This window comes from Homo sapiens, chromosome 10, assembly GCF_000001405.40.
Source record: "Homo sapiens chromosome 10, GRCh38.p14 Primary Assembly".
NCBI classification, from domain to species: domain Eukaryota; kingdom Metazoa; phylum Chordata; class Mammalia; order Primates; family Hominidae; genus Homo; species Homo sapiens.
In genome coordinates, this window is record NC_000010.11 from 7,155,653 (window position 1) to 7,183,048 (window position 27,396).

The 27,396-nt window shown below is 46.3% G+C and overlaps 1 protein-coding gene across 12 annotated transcripts in view, besides 1 other annotated feature; it reads right to left on the reverse strand.

Moving 5' to 3' along the window:
• Positions 1 to 2,971: 2,971 nt before the first annotated feature.
• SFMBT2 (Scm like with four mbt domains 2) overlaps positions 2,972 to 27,396 on the reverse strand; it is a 252,867-nt gene continuing 228,442 nt past the window's right edge. For all 12 annotated transcript variants that reach the window (NM_001029880.3, NM_001387890.1, NM_001387889.1 and 9 more), the window contains 5 exons: positions 20,338 to 20,513; positions 16,843 to 17,009; positions 16,243 to 16,506; positions 15,276 to 15,404; positions 2,972 to 8,258 (listed from right to left, as the gene is read on the reverse strand). In NM_001029880.3, coding sequence (NP_001025051.1) covers positions 8,118 to 8,258; positions 15,276 to 15,404; positions 16,243 to 16,506; positions 16,843 to 17,009; positions 20,338 to 20,513 — 877 coding nt within the window. In that variant the 3' untranslated portion in view covers positions 2,972 to 8,117. The remainder of the gene's footprint in view (positions 8,259 to 15,275; positions 15,405 to 16,242; positions 16,507 to 16,842; positions 17,010 to 20,337; positions 20,514 to 27,396) is intronic.
• Positions 14,771 to 15,271: an enhancer, noted in NCBI's record as "H3K27ac hESC enhancer chr10:7212385-7212885 (GRCh37/hg19 assembly coordinates)". NCBI's record gives its function as "activates a minimal SCP1, AML or CMV promoter by ChIP-STARR-seq in primed H9 embryonic stem cells {active_cell/tissue: H9 hESC(primed)}" and the evidence as "EXISTENCE:reporter gene assay evidence [ECO:0000049][PMID:30033119]".

Consider the following 27,396-nt stretch of genomic DNA (forward strand, 5'->3'; position numbering starts at 1 on the left):
GAAAATTCTAGAGAGTTTGGGGAAAACAAAACATAAACTTTTAAAAGAAAATAAAGGAGAATATGTCTATGTCCTAGGAATAGATACGTTTTCTTAAACAAGAGAATAAAAGCAAAAACCATAGAGATGTCTTCATTAATATCATTGCCCCTACTATAAGCAGTGGCCAGTTAATCTCCCACACCCATGCCTTCCACCTGCTGTGCACTCAACCAGAAGCAAAAGCTTTAGTGACTATGATGCCAGAGTGTCAGGATTATTATCCCCTACTTACCAAGAGCAAAAGGGTCCCTACTGCTTTCAGAGAGGTGGCAATCTGACTGCAAACTCCTAGCTGAGAAGCTGTTTTATAAGCTTCTTGCACAAATTGTCTTATCTGGGCTTCAAAGATAACAAAGTCTGAGGCAAAGCATATGTGCTAATATTTTATTGTGGAATGAAACATCGAGGCAGCAGGAATAAGGGAAAATAGACATTGAGGCAGGTAGGGCTGGAAAGCAAATACCAGGTGGTACGTTATAGAGTTGACCTCAGCTTAAGGTTTCTCTCTCAAGGTTTCTAGTCAGGCTAAACAAAACTACCATTTTTCAGAATACATCATCCAGGGAAAGGGAAAGGACACTGCTGCTAGCTCCCTCCCATCTCTCACTGATCCAAGCTGGTACCCTGGGACACAAATTCTGCTTTACCTGAGAGTGGTGTCACGCAGCCCTTCTGGTTGACTGTTGGGGAAGCCAAATCCTGCACACCATGGTGTGTACTTCATTTGAATCTAAGTTTGGTGGGTAGGGCCCAAACTCTCAATGACTTAATTGGATTGGGACTGGTGGCTGAAGTTTCTGCCAAGGTGGATGTGAAGGAGACAATGGTAGTGGCAGCCAGGATGTTCCAATGAGCAAGTGCTCAAAGGCCCAGGAGTTGATGGTGCCCAGTGATGCTGGGAATCTGGTTCACTACCTCATGCTAACTCTGCCTAGAATCACACAATGTTTATCTAACATCCAATCCTCCTACCAACCATGTAGGAGTAGCACTATCCACCTCTTACAGAAAAGAAAACTGAGGCTTTGTACAACATACCTTGCACGTAGTAGAATGAGTATTTGAACCTAGTAAAAAGTGCAACGTTTGTACTCTTTCTCCTAGCCAATGTACATCTCCTATTCCAAAAATTCTAAGCAAAAGATGGCAATACCTATGATAAAAGAAATTTTGGGGTTGGTGGGAAGACATGGTGGTAGTGGTCACTGTGTGTTGATCGGACTTCAGAATAACAAAGGAAGAGTTTCCTTTTTACTTATTACTATGATGCACCATTTAGACATATTAGTTATAGAGAACACAAAACAACATACTTTGACACAACAAATGAACTGCATTAAATGGAATGTGTTATAACCCAGGCTTGGGCTGACAACATAAAAACCTCTTGATGAAACTATCCCCAAGTAAACCTTTGCATCCCATCTATTATTTTGATGTTGTATTTTCACCAAACTGATAATATGTCCAGTCTTCACATGGAATCACCCAAGGTCACATTGACATAAACGGCATTTCTTTAAACACAGTCCTTGAAACTCCAGTAAGCATCATGCTCTTTCACAGACTTGAAATAGTCACAGCACAAACCCCAAGACAAAGGGGAAGTAACTTCCAGTGAACTGAGCAAACAGCCTCACTAAAGAGCAGAAGAATTAAAAATAGGTTTTCGGTGGTAACATGAAAAGAAATACAGATTTTCTTTCTTGCCTTGATTCATTCAATTTAGAGGTGCAAAACAGAGTTCAGCTTCCACTCTCTTATATCTTTGGTCTTTCTCTTCTCAAAGATCTTCAGGTGCAAAATTGAAGTACAACCATCCTATTTACTCAGCCATTTCACCCTTTATCTATTTGCTTCCGGTGTATTTTGAGGAAATGAACAATATGTTTCCCATTTTGCCCTCTTAGGCCTCATTTTTCCTATTAAAAAAAGTTTCCCAGCCAGATGTGGTGGCATGCCTGTGGTCCCAGCTACTCAGGAGGCTAAGGTGGGAGGATCACCTAAGCCCAGGCGTTTGAGGCTCCAGAGAGCCGTGATCATGCCACTGTACTCTAGCCTGGGTGACAGTGAGACCCTGTCTCAAAAAAAAAGTTTCCATAATTAAAACAAAAGAAAAATTTCTATATGTAGAATGTGATTGCCATCAGAGCAAAAATAATATTTAAAGAGAAGTAAATGACTGCACCACTGCACTCTGGGGTGACAGAGCGAGAGCCTGTCTCTAAAAAGAAAGCAATAAAGTAAAAAACAAGGTGAAGCAAGATACTTGAAATCATCTGGGATGTATGAAAAAAAGAAATCGTTCAACACTCCTCCACCTCCGTTACCTCAGTGCTTTTTCTCCTCTTCTCCCTCAACTCTGTCCCTAGGAGATGCTTTCCTTCTCCCTTAACCCTGTCCCTAGGAGACGCTACCTGAACCTGTGGTGACAGAGGAAGGGGACAGGTTCTGCCTGCGAGAGATCCGAGAGATGGGGTAGGATGGCAAAGGTCTCTCTTCCTATCCCAACTTCATTGCCTAAAACCTATGTGTGACACTTAAAGAAAAATGATAAATGTAAATGTGGTTATTTAATTATTGCTCTCATAGTAATAAAGCAGTCTTTCTACTAAGGCATCAGGAAATCCCAGAATAACGGAAATGATTGAAAGTGGGAGGGCTAGAGGTAGTTGTGTGAGGATACACGAGAATGTTTTAACAACTAAAAAGAATAAACACAAGTTCCTCGACCAGAAAGTTCCATTCTGGAGCTAGGAGGTGACTCTGAGAGGTCACACAGGACTTTGAGAGCCGTGGTCGTTAACAACCTAGAAATAAGGCTTTAGTGTGTGGCAAAAACAAAACAAAAAATTCAGAACAAAATAACTAATGCAGACGCTAAAGATAATATTGAATGACCTTCAACACAAAGACCCAAACACCACCATAGAATTTATTTTTACTTTATTAACAATGTGGCTTACAATTTTTTTGAAGTAAAAAGGGTTTTTTTCATTTAGAATAAAAATTAAAATATAACTCTGATATAGATTTTCATTTATTTACATGAAAACATATATACAGAATACAATCTTACAGCAAACCAAAAGCATGCCCTTCGTCCTGCAAATTTCAAAAGTAATGACACCAATTTTTCCCTTTTACGCACCAAAAACATACACAAGATAGGAATCCAATTTCAATACAAACTATTCAAACTAGAATGCAAAACAGTGAAAGAGCTTTCAACAATCACGACGAGGGATAGTTGATGCTTCCAGAGATCATGCTGGCTCCTGTTTCAAGCAAGTGAGATGATTATCTTTTTCTGTCATTTAAAAAAATTTGCCTCAAATTTTTCATCCTAAGGTGATTTTTAGCCAACGATTGTCCTAGAATTTTCCTTTTTTCGTCAGCACATCGCTTCAGCCACACAAAAAGCACTGCTCTGCGTTGGTTAGGCGACACGACCGTCATACTTACTGGGCCAAATCCCATTACTTAGTGCCAACAATTCAGAAGGATTATGGCCTCTTCCTCAAACAATATGGAATTATTTGAGTTGTTACTTGTCATTGAAACTAGAGAGGTTTTAAACCAAAATTCAAGGCAGTACTCTGTCAGCAATTACAACTTTTAGGTAAATTACATGGGTCAAAAGTAGCACAATTTGATTTTATCATAGTATGTTTGGGGTATCTGCAAACCATTCTAGTGATAGAGCTATGAGAACTGGTCAACTTAAGAGTTCAACCATGTGAAAGGGAGTAATTTCCAGAAAATTCTTGAACAGAAAAGGGCAGTAAACAAAAGAATTATTGAATTATAATAGTTGCCAATACAGATTTCCTTTGCTATTTAATTATTGCACCAACGAGATATGGGCAGTATGGATATCTTGCCAACAATTTCTTCCTTAACAACTACAGGTTTCTTAATTGACTATGTTGCCTTTCAAATAATTGCACGCACGATCACAGCTTTCTAAAGACAGAAGAGAGAGGAAGTGAAGCCTTGATTCGCCATCTCAATCCAAAAGCAGCAAAGATGCTCAAACCACAACAAAGATTTTTAACACTACTGTTTTTTTTAGTTCTATATACAGAAATAAATATAAATGGGTGTTCTATAAAATAAGTATGAAAACCCCTAGTACTTCTAAAACTAAGCGGGGACAGCTCTTAGAAAGGGGTGTTTGGCATAAGACAGAAGGCAAATCTCAGAACTTGCCAAATACAACACTCAAAATTCTGTGAGATAAGTTAGGGAAACGACACCCATCTTCAAAAGGCTGATCAAAATCAACCTTCTAGAGAGGGCAGTGTTCAAGGTGTGGATCATTTTAATGTACTGAGGAACAAATCAAAGCAAACACAGGAAATAATCTTTCGAATATGATCAAATAAGGTGGGAGAACCCAGAAGCCGTGCAGCTCAAATACTGTGTCTGACTCCAACTTGGATCAAATGACTCTAATTTTGAAAGTGATGGATGAGTTCCCCACGCTGTGCAGCTCCGTGGTGAAGTTCACTGTGTTTTGCTTTTGTTTTGAAAGGCAAAGAAGTTCTGTAATGCCAGTAGTACCCTGTTGTTTTTCTAGGTTGTTAGGCTTATGTCTTTGTGGACAGGATATTTTTTCAACATAGTACAAATACAGTCAAGAAGTGAGGAGCTGAAACAAGCTCCATGAGTTTAGGGTGAGACTGAGCGATGGGCTGTCATGATTCAAGTTGAGGTGGCATCTCTTTCTCAGGGTTTTCAAACGGCGCAGACTGCAGAGTCTCCCGGGCCAGTTCCAATAAGTTCCAAGTGGCATGATGCCCACAGGAAGTAGGCGCACTAAGGAGAGGACTTTGGTCCCAAAGAATCATCAAAGAGAGACGGAGAAGAAACGGTACCATCCAGGGAAGGAATGCGGGGCATCACTTTTTGGTGTTTAGACCATGACATTGTTGGCCTAGGGGCTATGGTGGCATCGGGGCACGCATGTCAAATCCACTTTTTCTGGCAAAAGCAACAAGGACACACACAGAAAAATGCTCCATGAAATTGGCCCTACCTTTAAGACAGACGCTGGTGAGAGGTGAATCCTACAGAGAAATGAAAACACATTACAATTCTGTACCAGAACTGCTGCTGATGTGAAGTCCATCCACCACGACGGAAATCCCCGGAGAATCCAGGCTCAGAAGGACACTGGCAACAGCTGGAGGAAAAGCACCTCCTGGGTCCTAAAATCTTTCTGGGCTCTCCTCAAGGACCGGAGAGATGGCACAGAGACAACTTTCATGGCGACGCCAGGCTGCGCCCTCCTGTGCAGTGGTCCCAGCCATCTCCTCCCTGGCACGTGCACAGACAGTGCTCACCCATGGTGACCGCAACTGCACAGAGAAACGCTGAAGTTAAACTGTCAGGGTGAAGGATACGGAGAGTCTTGGGCGCTTGGCTCCACGGGAAGCAAACACTTTCCCCTGCGACAGTGGCTGTATCCTTCCTGAGCTCCTGGCGGGCCACACACTCTAGCTTCCTAGATGGGCTCCAGAGAGCTCCTGGAGGATCCCCTCCCTCCAACGCAGCACCTCCTCCTCCGTGCTACCACTGAAAAGGGAGACAGAAGTGACATTTGTGCTGCAAGTCCCTGTTCTTTTGTGGCCACCACATTCCCTCACCCTCGTCTCAAATACAACAGGAACAGCTGAGCTTGAAAAGGCCACAGTGAAGGATCATCAAAGAGTCAGCGCGGGGAAAATGCCAAAGATCTGGAAATGGATGCCCTTTCCAATCGTTTGACAGAGTTGAACTCCACAAGACTGAGCGTTTAAGGCCAAAAGCATGTGGCTGAGAAGGCAGGGGTGGAAAACCGCAGAGAGTTCAAAACTTGAGCTTAAAGGAGAGATGCCCGGGGCAAGCCAGCCACAGATCCCAGAGACATTTCTGTCGGGGTACAACTGACACACTCCTCCCATCTGAGGTCCCCAGGCAGATGCATCAGCCGAACTCTAAAACTTGATTCTAGAAATCGACTGCAGGGGAGACCAAAACGCCTCATCCATAAAATATGTGTTTTCCATTCTCATCTGTAACCATTACAGAATGTTAAGAAGGGTGAGCTTGAGCAATCAAAGTTTCCAAAATCCCACTGAGAATCATATCTGGAAATGTCACAGAAATGCAAGCAGCTCATCAGCCCACCGCAGAATTTTACTGGAACTGTGGAGACTCTAGTCCAAGGGACGAGCTCAAGGTGATTGTGGTGAAAAAGCAGGAAGGGTGAGAAGCCTCTGCTTCCAGTGTCTGCTTGGGAACTGTGGGAGGGTTTGGTTTCCTTGCATAAGTTTAAGAAGGCATCTTGGCAGCCACCACAGCGGAACACTGTAGTCCACAGGGTCTGAGTGGAGATATGGAATCGCTCATGAGGATATGGAGATGGCTTCTGGTCCAAGAGGCCAGCCAACTCTCGCAGCCACAGCTTTGTCTGCACGTGACCTGGCGGATTTAACACAACTGCCCAGGAAATTCCACAAGCAAACTCAAAGCCAGAAAGAGCTGTAAGAATGGCCGAGTCAGAACTGGGACCAGACCCTTCTTATTCTTTCTTTTTCTAATTTTTGTACGATCTGGATCTTCCTTTCCAGCATGAGTGGGGTGAATGCCAGCAGGAGACAGTGTGCTCACCACCGCACCCTCAGGGTCCACACCTGTCACTTCACAGGAATGGAGGTCCAGAGTGATGAGAAGTCACCCAAGATCTCAGAGTTTGTTCTCAGCGAAACCAGGGTGCCAAGTGGCTGACTCCAGATTCACTGCTCCTGCTGCATCATGCCTGGTTCATATGCTGCCAGCTAGGGCAGAACGAGACAGAAGGGACGCTCAGAGGGACTCCTGCTCGGTGACCTGCTGCAGTGATCCTTCTAAGGGGGACGTAGCTGGTTGATGAAATGCTTCCCTCACATCTCTTTCCCTTCCTCCTCTCTGAAACTAAGCTTTTCCTTTGATATATAATCCAACATTTGCCTAAAAGACTCACTCCCTGATCCGGCTACGATTAAACAACAACACTGGAGATAGTTGAGGGTCTAGAAAAGACTGGGTAGAGTTTGTCTCTACAGATGTTCTAGGCTTCAATCAAAAACCATCCAGTTGGGCCGGGGCGTAGTGGCTCACACCTGTAATCCCAGCACGTTGGGAGGCCGAGGCGGGCAGATCACTTGAGGTTGGGAGTTCAAGACTAGCCTGACCAACATGGTGAAACCCTGTCTCTACCAAAAATACAAAAATTAGCCAGGCATGGTGGTGGGTGCCTGTAATCCCAGCTACTTGGGAGGCTGAGGCAGGAGAATCACTTGAACCCGGGAGAGAGAGGTTGCAGTGAGCTGAGATTGCGCCACTGCATTACAACCTGGGCGACAGAGCAAGACCCTGTCTCAAAAAACACAACAAAATGAACAACAAACAAACAAACAAACAAACAAACCATCTAGTTGCATGGAGATGCCTGCCGGCCTTCCTTCACTCCCCGTATTCCTAAAAGGCACCTCTAACAGAGGACAGAGCTTTAGCACATGTTTTTATAAGGATGTCGCTGCCAGCTGCATTGCAAAGGAGTTGCCACCAAGATGAAACCGCAAGTGCCACTCAACCAGGGTCACACGCCTATCCATGGGAAACTGCATATATAAATGTGCTCGTGTGATTACAGGAAACACTACAGCATGGCGTGAGGTTTCTTCCTTGGCGACATTCTTTGTTTTCAAAGAATGCAGTCCTCATCTGAGGAAACCCTGCTCCAAGGGAGCTGCCTGATTTGGGGCAGGAGAAAGGCAAAACGTGGGTGAGCCAAGAAGCAGGCCCACGTCTGGCAGGGTCTGATGCATGACTTTAACTGGCACTCCCCAGAAGCGACTGCTGCTGTGCTTTGAAAACATGGAAACAGCTCACAGGCTGGCGGAGGCAGAAGATCCTGGGCTTCTGGTTTTCTGGTGATACTTAGTGGCTGTACCATTTAACATATCCCGGAAAATCAAAGTTTCAGTCCTGGAAACCTTTACCAACACCGCATCCCAGCAATAATGGGCCACCTCCCGAGGGCAGACTCAGTTGGCGTACTGGGCGTAGAAAGCCACTTTGACTCTCTCGATCTGGTGGCATAACTTGATGGCAGGCCCCAGCTTCAGCTCCATGCACTCCTGCACCGTCGGAAGGGTCAGAAGCAGGAGTGCTTGGCCGTCAATATCCTGCAGGAAAAGAAAGGCAGGTTAGAGAAGGGGCAGTGTGCACTGGGGTACACAGATGCGTCACAGCAGGCTCCAGTCCGGGGCCAAACATGACAACAGGATGCTCTTGTTTCATTCAATTCAGGGGATTGTTGGTAGAGATACCAGCCCGGCTTGATGACTGTCTAATCTTTGTGTTACTAAAATCTTTTTGTAGCCGGGCACAGTGGCTCACGCCTATAATTCCAGCACTTTGGAAGGCTGAGGCTGGAGGATCGCTTGAGACCAGGAGTTTGAGACAAGTCTGGGTAACACGGTGAGATACGGTCTCTACAAAAAATTTAAAAATTAGCTGGGCATGGTGGTGCAAACCTGTGATGCCAGCTACTCAGAGGCTGAGGTGGGAGGATCACCTGAACCCAGGAGTTTGAGGTTGCAGTGAGCTGTGATCATACCACTGCCCTCCAGCCTGGGCAACACAGCAGGAGACTCTCTAAACAACAACAAAAAACAACAATACAAATACAAGAGCTTTTGGCTAAGGGCACTCTGGCTACTCTGAAACTCACATACCTACCCTGGTGGGTAGAAAGAGCTGGAACAGGTGGGTTGCTGCGGGAATTGCTTCCCAAGCTTATCGCCCCTTGCTGGGAGGGCAAGTCACTCTCCACCCCAGGCAGGGCCAGGTCCTCCCTAAGTGATGCTGAGACTTCATCTGAGCACTAAGCAAAGGAATCTCTACTAAAAGACAAGGCTCCCTCAGCTCCCTGCCAAGGTCTGGCATTTCACCATTAGGATGGGTGAGAAGATGCTCAAGACAGATATGCCAACGACAGCACAGGTTTCCATAAAGGGAAACACACACACACACACACACACACACACACACACACACACACACACCATTTACAGACACACACTCCCCAGAGCGAGGTGTCGCTCGTACACAGATCTGTTGCCCCACTGTGTCCTGCCTCAGCCTTTCTCTACCTACACACAGGGCATGAAGACATTCATTCAATGAATGTTCAGTTGAATTTGCTGCAGGAGGAAGCATACAAAGACCCACTCCAAAGCTCTAAGACCCTTCCACTGGACATCTCTGTCTCTTCAGCAGCTTGCTTCCTATAGTAATCTGGTTCATTCACATAGATGTCATTTGACCGGACTGCTGACTTTAACCGCAATCCTCCCTCCTATTTACCAAGATGATCTCAATCGTCCAGAGGGAGTCACTGAGGGGTCTGAGAGATTGCAGGCCCCAGGCAATGATGATCAGTGGTACCGTGAGAGCATTAAGTGAGCTCTACATACTGGAATTTCTGCCACTTGCAGAAGAATTATACCCAGGGCTGCCATAAGCCACAAGGACATTAATAGCCAAGCAAAAGCACAAGATCATACGTCTCCGACAACACCTGTCAGTGACTTTCGCACAGGCAGCTTATTTTCTTAAACTAACGGTTTATTTAGCTGTCTTGAAAATATCTAAAGCAAAAAGGCAAAGTGTGTATAAATGGTAGCCTTGAGCAGACTAATCTTCTAAGCAAGCATAGATTCATCATCTGATCAGATTCAAAAGACTAATGTTAAGAGCAGGAATAATTTATCTTCAGATCAGATTCAAAAGCAACAATATTCCCTAATAAGTACTGTAGCAATAAAAATGCAACATTAACTTTAAAAGTATCAATGTGAGTGTCATTTTTTATTTTTAAATTACAGATGAGCACTAGCTATGATGTAAGCAACTCGAAGCCACGTTCAACCAAGACCAAAGGTGACCTTATCAAATCACAAAGTAAACAGATCTGTCTTGTATACACACTGAAAGCAGGAGACAAACTGTAGAAAACTGTCACTATATTTTCATGCTATGTTTATATCATTTTTCCCTTGCTCTATAGTGCTCATACATGTTATTTTACTTTCTTTTCAGATGCTACAGAAAAGGCTGATTGCAGCTGGGGGGATTTGGGAGTACTGTGAAATAAGTGTTTGGCTCTAGGTCGCGAAGAAACCAAGGGGACCTCTGGCCTGGGGCCTGTAGGCCAATTCCACTTTCAGAGCCAAATCCACATGTAATACATCAAATTACACCAAGAGGGCATGGGTGTAGGGACTCAAAGTCTTCCAGGTACCATGGGCCTCATAAAAACACATTTTAAGTAGGCAGAGGGCTGATGTTCTATTCTGTTCTGTTCTGTGGATGTCATTAAACCATGGACAGTTGGCTTAACCATTATGTTCAATGACATCCATAGAACAGGAAAGAATAGAAATAGAACTTATTTTACTTTCCCAGGAAGTTTACTTTCCTGGTGAAAATTAATGCCCAGAAAAGCTAGCCAATCTAACTATGATCACATAGCTAGTTAGAGAAAGTGTTGGCATGAGAACTGTAGTTTTCTGACATTAAACTTTGAAGGGAAAACTGTAGCTCAGTCTTTAACATCTGTACTTGGGCATGATGGTGATTCAATCACCACTGACTATCAGCACGAAAATATTCGTGTAACTCTTTCTTTACAGAAAATTTCAGTGAAGGTGGCCAATGCATGTACCACATTTCAGTGCAGATGCACACACTCATGTATTTACTTGCCAATATTTATTGAGCATCTACTAAGTGGCAGGCACTTGGCTGGCCTCTGGGGAATGTCACAGTGAACAAAGGAAAGGTTCCCTCTCTGGACATCCCATGAATCTGGAGGGTGGCAGACAAGTAAACAGACTATTAGGATACAGGGATATTAACATATGGATGCAGAGCTAAGGGCTCAAACAGGACAGGCAACCAAGCCAGTCTTATAGGGGTGCTGAAAGGGCTTCGAACTGAGACTTCAGGGACCAGTAAGAATTATTAAGGCCAAGAGGGACTGAAAGAACACAGCTAGTTCCCTGGAACATAGAATTCCAGGAAACTGGGGAGACACCAAAGGTAAAATCATGACGAGCCCAGAAAGCCACTTTATCTGGAAGACTATTTTTTCTTTCAAGGATTATTTAGGTAACAGCATACCTCACAGGTGGTTTGATTTTTATAAACATGTTCCTATAGAACTGAGAGCTGCCGGCAGATCACTTTTAATGTTAAACACAGAACTACCATCAATGGACTAATTGTAAAGAAATGAAATATGATAAGATATACGACATGCTTAGCACAGGGCAAAATTAAATCGATTTTGATAGAGCACTCGGGTGAGGATCTGGTAGTTCCTAATGGAGGTATTGAGATCTAGAGAAGTAGAGAAAGGACAGCTTAATCTGGACTAAACCTATAAACTATCCTGAAATTTTTTCATTAAGGTCAGTTGAGCATTTGAGCAGTCTGCTTATTGCGCTGTCTCTGACTGATGAAAGCTGAATACATAGGTAAAATTTTATTTAGAGTGTTGTATGTGCTTAGTTATAGATGAGTGGATTTTTACTGTGTAATGTACAGGTTTGCAGCATGAGATTATGGAGTATAGATTTTTTAAGCGGTTGCCATAACATTTCAGAAATAAAAGGCACAGACGCTGGTCATGGGGAGTTCAGAATTTTTGCAAATTATAATAATCTCTGCATTTATAACGTTCAGGGCCTGCGTGCACATAGCGATGACCATGCTGTGCACTGTGATCTCATTCGCATGCCAGTGAAGAAAGTCTCTGGGTTCCTTCTAGCTCACCTGTAATCTCAGACAATGCCTGCGGTGACCTACCGGAGGCCTCACCAACTCAGAGCTGGAGTATTTGGGCTAAATGACGATGAACCAATTAGTAAAAATTAGTAATTAAAGGTCTGATGGGACAGAAAAGGACTCAAGTGCCCATGTACTTCAGACAGCCCAGTGGGCAATGGCTTTTTATTCCAACAGGTGAACTTGCCTAATGTGAAATGTGAAATTACACAGGAATGAGATGATGATCAATGAAAGTCTATCTATTTTTCTCTCTCGTAAGAGAAACAAGTAGGGATGAAAGGCAAGGCTTTTACTAATATTAGAAGAGCAATAGGGCAGAACTCTGTCTAGTACAAAAATTAGCCAGGCATGGTGGCGGGTGCCTGTAATTCCAGCTACTCAGGAGGCTGAGGCAGGAGAATCGCTTGAACCCGGGAGGCGGAGGTTGCAGTGAGCCGAGATCGCGCCATTGCACTCTAGCCTGGGTTACAAGAGTAAAACTCCATCTCAAAAAAAAAAAAGAGCAACTTGATTCTACAAGGGGGACAGTGTCGGCAGTGTTCCATTTCCTAGAAGGCTTAGCTTAGGGAAGGCATGAAACTTTTCTCTGGTGTTATCAACTGGGCTTAGGAATATAAGAAAGGAAGACTCAATACTTTAGGCTTTTCCCCATACCAGCTTTGTTTCACTTTCTTGCTTATTACTGAGAACTTGTACACAGTGTAGACAGACACAGGAGCTATTGACGTTTCAAGGTATAAGCCCTCATACCTAACCTGGGATCTAGAAATGAGAAATCTGCTCTTCATTCAGGCCTAACTAAATTTTTTTTTATTGTGAAAACTAAGCATTTGAGCCTAAAAATAAAACCAAAACATTAGAGTAATACAGAATGCCACACCTTGTATCTTTAGCTATCAGAAGGCACCTCGCAGGGACTGAATCGGTGTATGTTGAATGCACACAGGGACTGACAGATACGCATCAGTGCAACCAAACCTGCGTGATCAGCGCAACCAAACATGCATGACCAGCGCTTGTCACGTATTTGAATACAACGCTTATCTCGCCGCAGCACCACTGTCAATAAATGCCAGACAGGCAACGTGCTGTGCTGGGCAGCGCTTTACACAGCATTTCAACCTATTGCTTTAATTTTGTTTTCAAAATGGAGATGTGGCTTATCAATAAGCCCCCGATCACCTAAGCCCTTGTATTTCTTACAATTGTCTTTCTTTCCTGTTTGTGTGTTATTTAAAGGGACAAGCTCATCACCCAGGTTCTTTAGGTCTAAGGAAGTCTCTCCCTGGTTGCTTTTCAGAGTTGTCCAGACAGGAAGGGTGGCCAGTGTGAGAAGGTGAGGAGGTGACTCCCTCTGCCTCCAATCATTCTTTTTTCTTTCTTTCTTTTTGCTTGTTTTTGAGATGGAGTCTTACTCTGTTGCCCAGGCTGGAGTGCAGTGACACGATCTCGGCTCACTGCTACCTCTCCCTCCCAGGTTCAAGCAATTCTCTTGCCTCAGCCTCCCAAGTAGCTGGGATTACAGGCACCCACCACCACGCCCAGCTAATTTTTTTTTTTTCTTCAGTAGAGACAGGGTTTTGCCACGTTGGCCAGGCTGGTCTCGAACTCCTGACCTCAAGTGATCTGCCTGTCTCGGCCTCCCAAAGTGTTAGGATTACAGGCATAAGCCGCCATGGCCGGCCTAATCATTCTTTCAGCATGAACTTAGTGGGTGTCTGCAGAAGGTTCTAGTGGTTGTCAATAGGATGAACTACTTCATCTCTTGGACTTCTCGGGACACAGGGGAAAGAACTACTCTCTTTGGGTGGCACTGGAGACCATTTTAATTTGCTTTTTCCAGTTCATTGCTGCATGAACTTGGGAGAAAAGCTGGGAAATTTTCTGGGTACACAGGAAGTCACAGACCTTTTATGTTTCCTGATTTAATGCTGGAAATATCCTCTTTCTAGACTACTGATTTATATGATCTAAAAAGAGACTGAATAAACCTATCTTTAACATTATATGAAAAACAGTACTTTTTTTTTAACATGAGGTCTTTGAACACAGATATTTACACCAGGACAACGCAAGAAACTTCAACAAATTAAGCACAGAGTACAGCAAGAGCCTGGCATTTTCTGCAAGGCCAGTGAGGCAGGATGCAAGGTGGTGTGTGTGCAGAGTGGCAACTTGTTTCCGTATTAATTTAAGGGATAATGTAAATAAAAACCCTCTCTTCTTCCTTAGGACACAGCATCATATGATCTTGTGTTTTAGCTAACTATACTCATTTCATCTGCTGGACTATAGGCTCCTTTAAGGTAGAAATTATATCGACTGTTATTGCATTTGTCCATCACCATACCATGGTCTTAAAAATATTTTATGCAGAAAGAAGTGAGGAAGGTAAGAAAACAATGACGAAAGCAGCATTCAGTACGACACACCAGCCAGCGGGCTTCTGCTCTGGGCAGGCCAGGTGGATACACTGTTCCCTCCTTCTCCCACTAGGCCTAAGTAAGATCCATGGGCATTATATACAAATTCACAAACAGAAGACTCTGGAAGGTGGAGAAAGGAGGGCAGACCGGCTAGGGGCCTGGGCCCCCAGCTGACAGCACAGTGCTGAGCTCTCTGGTTGTTGTGGTTGCTGTTTGTGTGTGAGCTTCATGCCCCTGAGACTTGGAGCTGAAGAAGCTGCAACCCAGATTTGCCAAAAGGCACTGACAGGAGGCTCAACCAAAACCAGTTCTCTCCAGACAAAGGCCTGGCCAAGGGGTGGCCCAGCAAGACAAAAAACCGTGAGACAGCAGCATCTCTTCTGCAGCTGAACATCACAGGGAGGGCTGGACGGACCCCACTGAGAGCAGCCAAGGCAGAGTGTGCTATCCTGACTTCCGGCCTGGCCAGGTGGCAACTGGGCACCCCATCCCACCACTGACCTGGCATCTGAAAGGGCCAGCCAGGGAACTGGGACTCTCACCCCTGCCTGGTGGTAAAGAGCCCCCACTGTAGAGTCGGTGGAGATGGCAGGGGGAGCGTGGACTCGCACCCCTCACCTGGCAGCAACAGGCACCTCCCACCCCTGCTGGGTGGTGTCACTAGAGCCTGGAAGAGTCACCCCTCCGCCCCCCACCATGGCACTGGTGGGGCCTGAGAGGAGCAGGAATGAGGCTCTGTCTCTCGTCCCTGCCAGGCAGCTCTCAGCAGGGGCCTTGGAGGGAGAAGGGTCTCGCACACCTGCCGAGCAGCGCCGAAGAACCCCCTCGCAGGTGTCACGAGGAAGCCGGCTAGGACACGAGGTTCATTTCAGATGCAGAGTCTCAGCACATCAAACAATCGACACGCGGCAACCACCGTACCTGCTCCTGAAATATCTTGGCCAAGGGGGCACAGTCTGTCAGCTTAATGAACCTCACCACGTCGGTGACCGTCCACTCCAACGGGTTGCTCTCCAGAACCAGTCTCTCCTCCTCCTCCTGTTTCGTGTCCTGCAGAGAAAGGGCAGGAGGAGCTCAGCTGCGGCACAGTCAGCTGGCTGGGTCCTCTCCAGCACTCTCCAGGCCTCGGCCGTTCCTGGCCGGAAGCCACTGCCTCCCTTTGCTCCCTCACTGGGCACCTGAAAAAGCTGCACACACTCTCAGTCCCTGAGAAAGTTCTTGGCTCAGTGATGATGCCCCCTGCAATGACTCATGTGCCTTCAGATGGAAGAAGGCAGGCACAGTGACAGTCGCTCTTGCATCCCTAGTTCAGGAAACCTTGGGCCTGCTTATGAACGAAGCATCTCTGATTAGAGAAAAGAGGAGAAATACAAGGGGCACGTCCAAGCAGACACGAGACAGTGTCCCCCAGTGTTTCTGTAATGGTGGTGCCAGTGGCCCTTTCTGCTGATCTCACACCACCCATGGGGCTAGGGGAGACCTGAAACACTGATTAAATATTTTAAAACATCACAGAGGTGTCCTATAGAGGGGACGTGGGAGCAAGACACAGCGCAGTCAGGGGAGATGCGGGGAAGGAATTTCTGGAAACCCAGACTTCAAAGGAAACTGAGGACTGTGCCCTCCTCCTGACAAGAACCCAGGTGGCACTAAAGCCGTCCAGGAAAGAGGCGCTGTCTCCACCCTGGGCACTCCATTCTGATGCCGAAAGGCCCCTCCACCCAGAGGTGAAGTGCCAGCCTTTGTTCCTGACTTGGGAACTAGCTAGAGCAGCTGCTGCTGTTGGAGGTATTTTAAACAGGTTTCCCCACATCGTGGCCCTGAAGTGTAACAGGTGTGCTTCTTCAGACCCAGCGGGAAGCCCTCTGTCCCCACGCCCGGGCATCACCTCTGTCCCCTCGGGCTTGGTCGGCGGGCACTTCTCCCCTTCCTCTGCTGAGGAGGCAGCCGGCGCCCCGCGGCCCCTTCGTGTCCTCTCTGGGGGTGGCCGGCGCACGGGCTCTGAGCCGCTCCGCAGGGTGACGGCCCTCCGGGGCCGGGCCGAGGGCACCTCCGCCGACGAGGTGTCCGTCTGGTCATCCCGGAGCTCGGAGCCGGTCTCCTCACTGGCGGTGTCATCGTCCATGGCGTCAGCGTCCTCCTCTTCACTTTCCTGGGAAGGAGGAAAAGGCATTTAAGGGGCTGGTGGCCCGGGGGCCTGTAGCGGTGGCCCCGCGGTCAGACCCTGGGCCCAGTGCAGACCACCTAGCAAACCCTCGGAAATGGAGCCAGTGGTCCCACCCGTGGGCCCTACGAGGCCCTTCCCAGCCAAAGCAGCTGGACACACTACATTTGTTTTCAGCAAGTAAGGAGGAGGGGGCTCTTCTTCAGTGTTTCTGACCATCTTGCCACAATCTCCAGGGCCACCTCTGCTGTGAAGCAGCCACACTTGCCGGCCAGGGCCAGATGACAGAGCTACAGGCTGGCAGGTGCCCCGGGCAGAACATACCTCCCCCGAGCCCGCGGTGAAGTCCACGGCAGAAGACCTCCGTTTCTTCTGCACGAAAATGGATTTCCGTCGCTTCCTCCGCCTGGCGGGTTTGGGGTGTCCGCTGTCGGGGTTGCTTTCCCCGATGGGGGGCTTGGAGATCTTCTTTCTCTTTCCATAGTAATAGGCTGTAGGAAGGAAGATGAGAAACTTTTGAAGGCTATACACACACACAGACATGAACAGAGAGAGGAGAGAGAAAGAAGGGAAACGATTCTTTCATCTGATAGTTCATTTGTGCCTTACGAAGTCATTCTGAGAAAACAGACCCACAGGAGAAGCACTGCTCCAAAGCTTCAGGTCTGGAAGGTGTTCGGGCTGAACTTGGCCCGTCCCCAGTGTTGAAGCCCAAACCCCCAAAGTGAGTGTATCTGGATGTCCCGAACCCCCAAAGTGAGTGTACAAGGGTGGGGCCCTAATCCAATAGGACATTAATGAGGTCCTAAGAGTGTCCAGGAGAGACACCAAGGACCCAAGACCCAAAGGAGAGGCCCCATGAGGACACAGGGTGCAGGTGGCTGCCTGAGGCCCAGGAAGGATCTCATCAGAAACCAAAGCTGCTGACACCCTGATCTTGGACTTCCAGCTTCCAGGACTGTGGGAGGTAAGTGTGCGCAGTGAAAGCTCAGGGTCTGTGGTATGTTGTTGTAAGCCAGAGCTGACTTCTGCAGAAGGTGAAAGAGACAAAGGTGTCCACAGTTCCCACGGGAGTTTATCCCTGTCTGGACCCCAGACACTGCATACAGTGGTGGCAATGACATCCACCGGAGTGCTCTGACACCTGCTCCCAAGTCTGAATCTTGAGCGACTGGTCAGTCAGCAAGCACTGGGTGAACATCTGCTGGCGTGGTCCTGGCATGAGGGACTCCCCCAGCTCTTGGTCCGACCAAGATAAGCTATGATCCTGAACACGTGGGCCAAATTCACCAAGCACTTTTCCTCTTCTCAGAGTTCCTTCTCTATTACATCATTGTATACTTTATTTCCTTCTCATTTGCTGGGACTCACATTGCTTCTGAATTCTACAGCAGAGACACAGGTGTACATCTTAATTCAAAAATTATTTATTGAACTTTAGTAGTGATTAATGTTTTTTATAAACAAAATGTATCATCAGCTAATGAAAACCACCACTAAGGATCCAGCATTCAATTACGACCCAGACGCCTACTCATTAATAAAAGGTTCAACCGTCCCACTATGTGATGCCCATGAGCCACAAAATAACTGAATGCAGCCAAGGAACCTTTATCTACGAATGGGGTGGGCCAAAGCAAAATGGCAAATGCACCACCCCTGGTTTGCAGCAGCCCCGTTGCAGGGAGCATGATTTTAGTGCATTCTCACAGTACTGAGTCGTGGGCTTTGTCCTACAGGTAAGTCACCTATCCTTTCTGCACCCCAATTTCCTTACTTACAAAATGAGACCATCAGGACTAACAAGCATAGGTTTCCTTCAGGCCTAAGACCCTCTATGTCCCACCTCCTCCCCTGCGTTTGATCACAGCATGGCATTTGGAAAAACTGTCGGGAAGCCGCACAGCAGCAGCCCTGTAACTCCCAGGAGGCACACCTGCTCCGGGAGCCCCGGCCTGTTCTCATCAATCTCTCAAAAGGAGCAGCTGGCAGGAGAGCTTGGAACAATGTCCCGTGTCCAGTTCTATAAGGACCGTGTTACTCAGTGAGCAGGAATAAACTGCCGTGGGCGAGCATTGCTCTGTGGCCATCTCCAGGTACGGGGCAAATGAGCAAGCCTCTGTCCCCTCCCAAACCCCAAGCGTGCATGACAGGGCCAGGGCAGGCTGGCTTCTTAGAAGCCAGTGGCTGGGGATGAGAACTGGTTTTAGGGAATGCAGCCAAAGGCCAGTATGTGTTTGGAGCCTTAGAACGAGACTGGGTGACCCCTGCTTTTCCAGTGTTTGACTCCCCCAAAATATCATTCTGTCCTCCTCCCACTGGAGCCTCTGTTCAGCCTTTAGTAACATTCATTATAAATTAACCCAAAGGATCTTGGGACTTAAGAGTTTTATTATATGAGATCCGGAGACATCTCTGAGTTCATTTCGGCAATGCTGAATGGGAGGTGTGGGACCCTGCTCCTTCCCTGCCATTCCCAGTGTCCTGGAAGAACACAGAAGCCCACCTGGCAGGTAAGCATTCACCGTACACGGCAAAGGCGAGCCCTCGGTTAGGCCTTTCTTACTCAGGAGCTGCTGTTTCCCAGTGAAGCCCTCCCCTGGAAAAAGGTGCAGTGATGGAGAAACAAGCTCTTCCGGAACCAGGTGACCTGCTGGGCCAACACACCTGCGGGCCCTACCTGAGAGGCCCTGTGCACAGAATGAGGGGAGGTCTGTGTGATCAGTGAGGGCACAGCTGGCCTCCATCAGAAGGCAGAGTGGCAAGGGGACTCTGTGTGTGTGTGTGTGTTGTGTGTGTGTAGAAACACACTGAGAGATAATAAAATACAAAGAAAGTCACACTCTGCACAGCGTTTCCAGTACATTCAGATTCCTGGTTCCAGCACCCATGTTGACAAACGTCACAAGTGACTGTGGCTCACAGAGCACTGGCCACATGGCCAAGCCCTTGTCACATCCCAGCTGGCTGGAACGTGGCTGGCAGAGCTAACTTCCAGGTCACTCCCCCTTGCATTAGAGAGAACTGAGGGGAGACGCAGGAAACTCAGAACTGTGGGTCAGAGGGAGAGAACAGGACTCAGGCACAGGAGGTGGAGGTGTCTGGGAGTGGCTACTATGGATGGAGAAGGTCATCAGAAAGAAAGAAGGGCAGGGCTCAGGGGAAGCGGTTGCCCAAGGCCAGACATCCTCGAATGGGACTGGGGATGGAAGAGGCAAGAGCTGAAGGTAGGAGAGTGGGGACAGCTCTGAGTCCTGCACCCTGTGTCCTGGGAGAGAGGCAAAGCCAACTGGCAGAAAAGAAAGTGATGGTGGCTTCTGAGTCCTCCATGGCTCTCTTCAGTGAGGGTGCTGAGGAAGGCGTCTAAACATGAGAAGCCGATTATGACAAGGATGTGGCCCCCGTATCAAGAAGGGCAATGAAAGCATCATTACACTATCCCAGAGTAAGGACTGAAAGAGTCATCTGGGTTACTGTTACTGTGATCAATTTTACTGTGCTCTCCTGCCATCCATTGAGCTGTAGAATCAATCAATCCACTGAAACTCATGACAGTACACACAGTTCCTCTTCTTCTTTTCCAAGGCCTACCAATGAAAATTCATCCTGTTTTAAATCATCCCATCCCCTCCGTATGTCAGGCTAAAAACACATGTATCTGCTACAGCAAATCCTTAAAAATCCTTCCATAGCAATTCCTATGGAAGACTAGTCAAAAGGTTCAAAAAGAAAAAAGCAAATGAAACAAAAACCAAATACCTTAGAGTGCAGTTTAGGTCTCTGGGCTCATGCATTTCTTTTTTCATTATTTGTACTTACTGTATTTGGTTTTGGTATGAATGGAGCAGTTCTCTGGGCAGTTTTCAGATATCAGCACAGGACTAAACAAATTTGGACAGCACTCTAGCTTGGCACAGACTCGGCGGCAGAAATTTGCGACTTGGTCAGATGTCCGTACGATTTTGACCACAGCCCTGTATGTTTTGCCTCTGTATCTAGAAAATAGGTGGGGAAGAAAAGCGAGGGCAAGACCAGATTATGATTCAGGCCTATTCTGTACCACACATTCCGAAGGCAGCAACTTCATTTTCCAATGACAAAGCATATCGCGTGCAGTTTCCCATGTTGCTTCTGTTATTTCTCACAGAGATATTTATAAGAAGTGCTCACTAGTGTGCAACAAATGTGTCGTAACAGTGCTAAACCAGAATCCACTTCCATAAACACCCCCACATGTAGCACACCTTCATTTTGCTATATACAACTTCATACCAAAGATGAGCGGTGCGGGATACATACCTGATGGGCATGGCTCTCGAAATGAGGTTAGTGAAATCGAATGGGTATTTTCCTGTTGCTATCATATTTCATTTTTGAAAAATGTGAGTGCATATGGGATCAGGATTCTGCCTTGAAAACCATGCAAATTCAGAACACTGAAAGGATATCTTTGTCAAGACTGTGTATCATATTGTTGAAATGGGGACGATTTCCATTATTCATAAATGGCATCTGTGCAGAATGGTGATAGGTAAGCAAGGTCACATTTAAATGGACAGAAACACAATGGATTTTATAAGGGGAAAAAAAGAAAGAAAAAAGCTACCATTAAAAATGCAGAGTGACTGTATGATTGGGACCTGGAAACCGAGTGAAGACCCCCAGCCTTGCAGACACTGGCAGCAAGTGGCTTCAGTGTAAACAGAATCGTAAGGGGTCTCCGGTGGATGAGTGGCAGTTAAAGGAAAAGGCTGCTGTATCTCTCAAGTGTAAAGGGAGCAACGTGAAATGGTAATGCCGCTTGCCATACTCTGCCCATGAGGGTAACTGGCCACTCCTCTCCTCTAGGTTGGGATGGTGAAAGATTGCTCCAGGAACTAAAACTTGCTTCCACCTGCTCTCCAGTCCCCCCAGCAACCCCCTCCATGGCTTCGGTTGCTTTCTCCGAAGCAGTAAATCGAATCCTTTCTGAACATGCACACCTTCACCGCAATTCCCCACAGACTCAAATCTTGATTGAGTGATAGATAGTGGATGAAATCATACTGCAAGGAGAATGCACGCTGGAATCAACAGTACTTCATATGCATCTCTATTTCTTATTAGACTGAGGTCTTTGGAAAGCTACAGTCTATTTGTGTATTAGGAAAAAATAAAAGGCATTTCTCCAGTTAAATCTCCCCCCGCCCCCCGCAAAAAGCGGTAAATCTAACTGAGGGGCCTCACATAGGAGACCTTCATTCTTATTATATGGATTGAACCATGTCCCTCCTAAATTCATAGGTTGAAGCCATAACCCCCGATAGGACTGTAATTGAAGATGGGGCTTTCAATGAGGTAATTAAATTAAACGAGGTTATAAGGGTGGGGACCTAATCCCATAGGAGTGGCGGCCTTGTAAGAAGATGAAAAGTTTGAGTGTGGAGGTTCATCCTTGTCATCTCAGCTCTTTGGGAGGCCGAGGCAGGAGGACTGCTAGAGCCCAGAGGTTTAAGACCAGACTGAGCAGCATAGCGAGACCCCCATCTCTACAAAAAATTTAAAAACTATGGGCACGGTGGGGCACTACTGGGGAGGCTGAGAAGGCTGAGGCAGGAGGATTCCTTGAGCACAGGCGGTCAAGGCTGCAATAAGCTATGATTGTACCACTGTACTCCAGCCTGGGCGACACAGTGGGGCTCTGTCTCTTAAAAAAAAAAAGAAGAAGAAGAAGAAGAAGTTGAAAAGCCACCAGGGGTGTACATGCACAGAGACTAGACCATGTGAGGGCAGAGGGAGAAGGTGGCCATCCACAAGCCAAAAAGAGAAGCTTAAGGAGAAACCAACCCTGGCACCTTCATCTTGGACTTTAGGCCTCCAGAGCACTGAGAGAATAAACATCGTTGCAAAAGCCATGTGGCCTGTGGCTCTTTGCTGCACAGCCTGGGCTGACTGAGACAAGGCTCATTCCTCCGGTGGTGGGGGGTGACAAGAATGGGGACCCCCGGACTGCCTGCCTGCACCTCCCCACCACCCACACAGCAGCTTCTCCTGACCATGGCTGCTGCCTGCTTGTACCTTTCCTTCTCGGTTCACATCTTCTAAGGTTTCTCTGAGGTCCTCCTTAAGCACTTGTCTCTGATCTTAGAGGAAACACCAATCTAGATGAAGGGTATGGAAGTTTTCCCCAAAACCTTTTCAACGCACTAGGAAAACGAGAGTTCTGGAAATCCAAACGCCTTTTATAGTTATCCACAAGGAACTGATTTTATATATGGGAATCCAAAAACGTCAACAAACATTGCTTGAAGAGATGGCACTGTCTTGCCATCATATATAAATATCAAGTGCAATACTGCTTTCCTTAAACGTAACTATTTAGTGAAGAATAAAAATTAAGCTCCTCGCATCCCTCCCCACACCCACCCACACAACAAAGAATTTAGAGTGAGACATGCTTCTGGAACCTAGATATTGTCACTTGTTGCTCATCACTTTTAAGAAAAAAACTTTCTCCTGCCCCAAGAAAAACCGCAGGTAATGAATTCACCAGTGTAAAACTGGCAACCAGAGCTACAAAAAGCAGATTCGATGGGTTCTTGTTTTAAAATTAGGCACTACAGCCCTTATCCAAATATTTATGGGAATATGATATACATAATGCCTGGCTGAAAACACAAGCACTTGTAGGTTTCAATCACCTTTTGACAGATTTTTAACCCTATCATGGGGACAAAGTAATGGTCAGCTTCTCAACTGGCAACAGATCATAGGTTTTTATTTCGTTCACATATCACCAAACTACTGAAATATGAAATTCCAGCTTTTTAGGAATGTCTTTCTAAAGACTGGAAAAATACTTTTCCACTAATAAATCTTTTTTTTTTAAAGTATCAACGGCAAAAAAAATTAAGGATTAAATTCCAACTTGTACTTTTTATCTGCATACTCTACTAAATTTACTTCATATTTATTCAGGGTCTTTCATATCCCAGCCCCTGGGTGTTTGTTTTTCTTCAGTTTCTCTGATGGGTCGAGCTTGACTTTCCATGTAGTGAGAACTAGAAAGTAATCTTCTGTAGATAAGATCATGCTTTAAATCCTACAGCCTTGAATGGCTGTTGGTTTTTCTAGGCCCTCCATTGACCCTATGTGTAGAGACTTCCCTCTCCGTGCCTTTGAAGAGGGACTCCAGGACCCACGTTGGGGCGGTTCTTGCTTATTGCTTTTGTTGCATTTTCGAAAAAAAAAAAAAAAAAAAAAAAAACAAAAGAAACAGCACAACTGGGAACACCGTATGTTCCTCGTGTTGTGGGAAATGGAGAGTAAAAATGGGAAATGTAGAATAAAAGTGCTTCACGGCTACATTTTCCCTTGCAGTTTTATCCACTACGAGTTTGGTGGCCCCACAACTTTGTTGGAAAGAGCTCACTATCGAGATTCTTAGAGTCCCTAGAAAAATAAAATAATGAGACATAAGAACGCAGGAGAAATGTGCAAGCCAGGTCAGAGGACAAACTGCAGAACAAGGCTCAAAGATGAGACTGCTCATCAAACCTCCAGGTGACGAAGCACACACACGCGCTGCCACATCGGAGCGACGGATGAAGGGAGCGGTTATCTGGGGGAAACAGAACCAGGCTGGCTTAATTTTCTCTTCCTAGTTTGGGATGATTTCACGGAAACAAGTGTTTCAGTAAAAACTTTCACAATAGGGAAAAGCCCATCTAAAGGTATGAAGATTTAAGTTATAGCATCATTTAAAAACAGCGGGCTCCTTTTCTCTTCCCTGCCCTTCCTGAACAATTCTGTTTAGAAGCCATGGCAGTGAGGGGTAGAGGGGACTGAGTAAGGATAGGGCACGGGCTGGGGAAGCTGGCGGATGGCGTGCTGCCTGGACCCCTTCACTGGGGGGCTTGTTGCCCCACCTGCTGGGAGAAAGCCTTCAGTTGTGGCCCTTTTATTTAGGTTTGCTTTTTTTTGCTTTTTTTGAGACAGGGTCTCACTTAGTCATCCAGGCCAGAGTGCAATGGTGCAAGAGCTCAGCTCACTGCAACCTCTGCATCCTGGGTTCTAGCGATTCTCATGCCTCAGCCTCCTGAGTCACTGGGAATACAGGTGCCCACCACCACGCCTATAGTGGTAATTTTTTTTTTTTTTTGTATTTTTAGTAGAGATGGGGTTTTGCTATGTTGGCCAGGCTGGTCTTGAACTCCTGACCTCAAGTGATCTGCCCGCCTTGGCCTCCCAAAGTGCTGGGATTACAGGCGTGAGTCACTGTGCCCAGCCCCCTTTAGGGTTTTGCAAAAAGCTGCCTTGGCCCTGCCCTTCCCAGAAGGGCCCCATCCAGGGACTGACTGTGGAGGAGGTAAAAAGGTCACTGGGGCCCAACTCCGGACAGCCATGAAGAGCCTTTAACCCCAGAGCTGCTGCGGGTGCCTGCCTGGCCTCACTGTGGGATGATCTCTGTCTTCTCAATCCCACTGCCTTCCCCTCCCTTCCAAAGGCATTGGTCCCAAGGGCCCTCCTTGATGAAACCCATCTGGGAGGAACCCACCAGGGAAAAGGATGGAAGTGCGGGAGGGACGCAGGGGGGAGGCCGTCGCATGTGGGGACAGCTGTTGGGAGGGTGAGGATACTGGAGAGACGCTGGGGCCTGACGAAATAAATACATACTCCAAAGGTGGAGAGCACAGGCCAGGCTTCCACTGTCACAGCCGGAGTTGCAAGTATAGGGAAGGAAAAGGCTAGGATGAACCCTGGCATGCTGGACTGGAATTGGAGCCTACGTTCCACCACAAGCGCACAGAAAAGGGTGAACACAGCAGGCCTGAGCCACTCCCGTTAGAAAAGCCTGCTTACAGGCAGATCACGAGGTCAAGAGATTGGGACCATCCTGGCCAACATGGTGAAACCCCATCTCTCCTAAAAATACAAAAAACAGCTGGGCATGGTGGTGCACGCCTGTAGTCTCAGCTACTCAGGAGGCTGAGGCAGGAGAATCGCTGGAACCCAGGAGGCGGGGGTTGCAGTTAGCCGAGATTGTGCCACTGCATTCCAGCCTGGGTGACAAAGTGAGACTCCATTTCAAAAAAAAAAAAAAAAAAGTACAGGTACATCCCTAATCAGAAAATCTGAAATTCAAAATACTCCAAATTCTGAAATTTTTGAGTGTCAACATAATATAAGTATACTGCAAGTATTCCAAAAGCTGAAAAAAGATGAAATCCAAAACACTTCTGGTCCCAAGCAATTGGAATAAAGGATATTCAACATGTATTTGGGGGTGACGGGGCATCAGGCCTTCAACTTATCCCAAATCAATCAGGAGAATGAATAGTATCTTTATTCTGTACCTCCAATATTTCTGTAAGTATGAGATTGTTTCAAAAGCACTTAGAAATAATATAAAGGCATGTAGTCATATAATGACTCAAACTATACCAAGCTGACTCTACAGCAGACTTTCCATCACATGAGCATTTCTGAGCACTATTGGTTGAGTACACATGGACACATCCAGATGCTATCAATACATTAAGGATAAATTGATTGTGAAATCCAACTCCAACCTGAACCAATAAACAGGCTTGTTTTGGAGTTGGCCTACAAATTAGGGTAACTGTTGGAACAACTCTTTCAAAGGCATGCTGAACATACGAAGATACAGCCCTATTAAAAAAAAAGGAGAGGCAAAAGACAGCTCTAAGAGTTTACCAACTGGCTGGGAATTAACAGTAAATCTGCATTTATGTAATGAAGCTACTGACATATTCTCAAGGATCTTACAGCATTTGATCACTTGATCCTTACATGATCTTCCCAGGCACAGTGGACAGGGGTTTGAGCTCCACGTGACAGACCTGGGGATGGCTGGGTAGGGGGATGACCTGTTCTTTCTTTCCTTTTTTTTTGAGACAGGCTCTCACCCAGGCTGGAGTGCACTGGCACCATCTTGGCTCACTGCAACCTCCATCTCCCAGGTTCAAGCGATTCTCCTGCCTCAGCCTCCAGAGTAGCTGGGACTACAGGCACCCACTACCATGCCCGGCTAATTTTTGTATTTTTAGTAGAGATGGTGTTTCACCATGTTGGCCAGGCTGGTCTCAAACTTCTGACCTCAGGTGATCCTCCCGCCTCAGCCTCCCAGAGTGTTGGTATTACAGGCACAGGCCAACGCACTCAGCCTCATTCTACTCTTTATTTTACCAAAAGTGAAAAGAAGAGTGTGTTTTGTATTTTTACCTTCCAAGAAAGACTTACAAACAGCATACCAATGACATAACTTTGTAGGGAGGATGTGTGAAAAGAACAACCCAAATGTCCAACAATGATAGACTGGATTAAGAAAATGTGGCACATATACACCATGGACTACTATGCAGCCATAAAAAATGATGAGTTCATGTCCTTGGTAGGGACATGGATGAAGCTGGAAACCATCATTCTCAGCAAACTATGGCAAGGACAAAAAACCAAACACCTCATGTTCTCACTCATAGGTGGGAATTGAACAATGAGAACACATGGACACAGGTAGGGGAACATCACACACTGGGGCCTGTTGTGGGGTGGGGGAGGGGGGAGGGATAGCATTAGGAGATATACCTAATGTTAAATGATGAGTTAATGGGTGCAGCACACCAACATGGCACATGTATACATATGTAACTAACCTGCACATTGTGCACATGTACCCTAGAACTTAAAGTATAATAAAAAAAAAAGTTAAAAAAAAAGAACCACCAAAAAGCATGAGATAATGCTTTTCACTTTCTACTGACACTGTGAGACCAAAGGGTGAGACGCCGATGTTATTTAATACACGGCCCGGCAAGGCTCTCATAAACACTAAGTTTTTGAAGCAATATTTCAAGTCCCAAGAAGACAAAGTAAGAG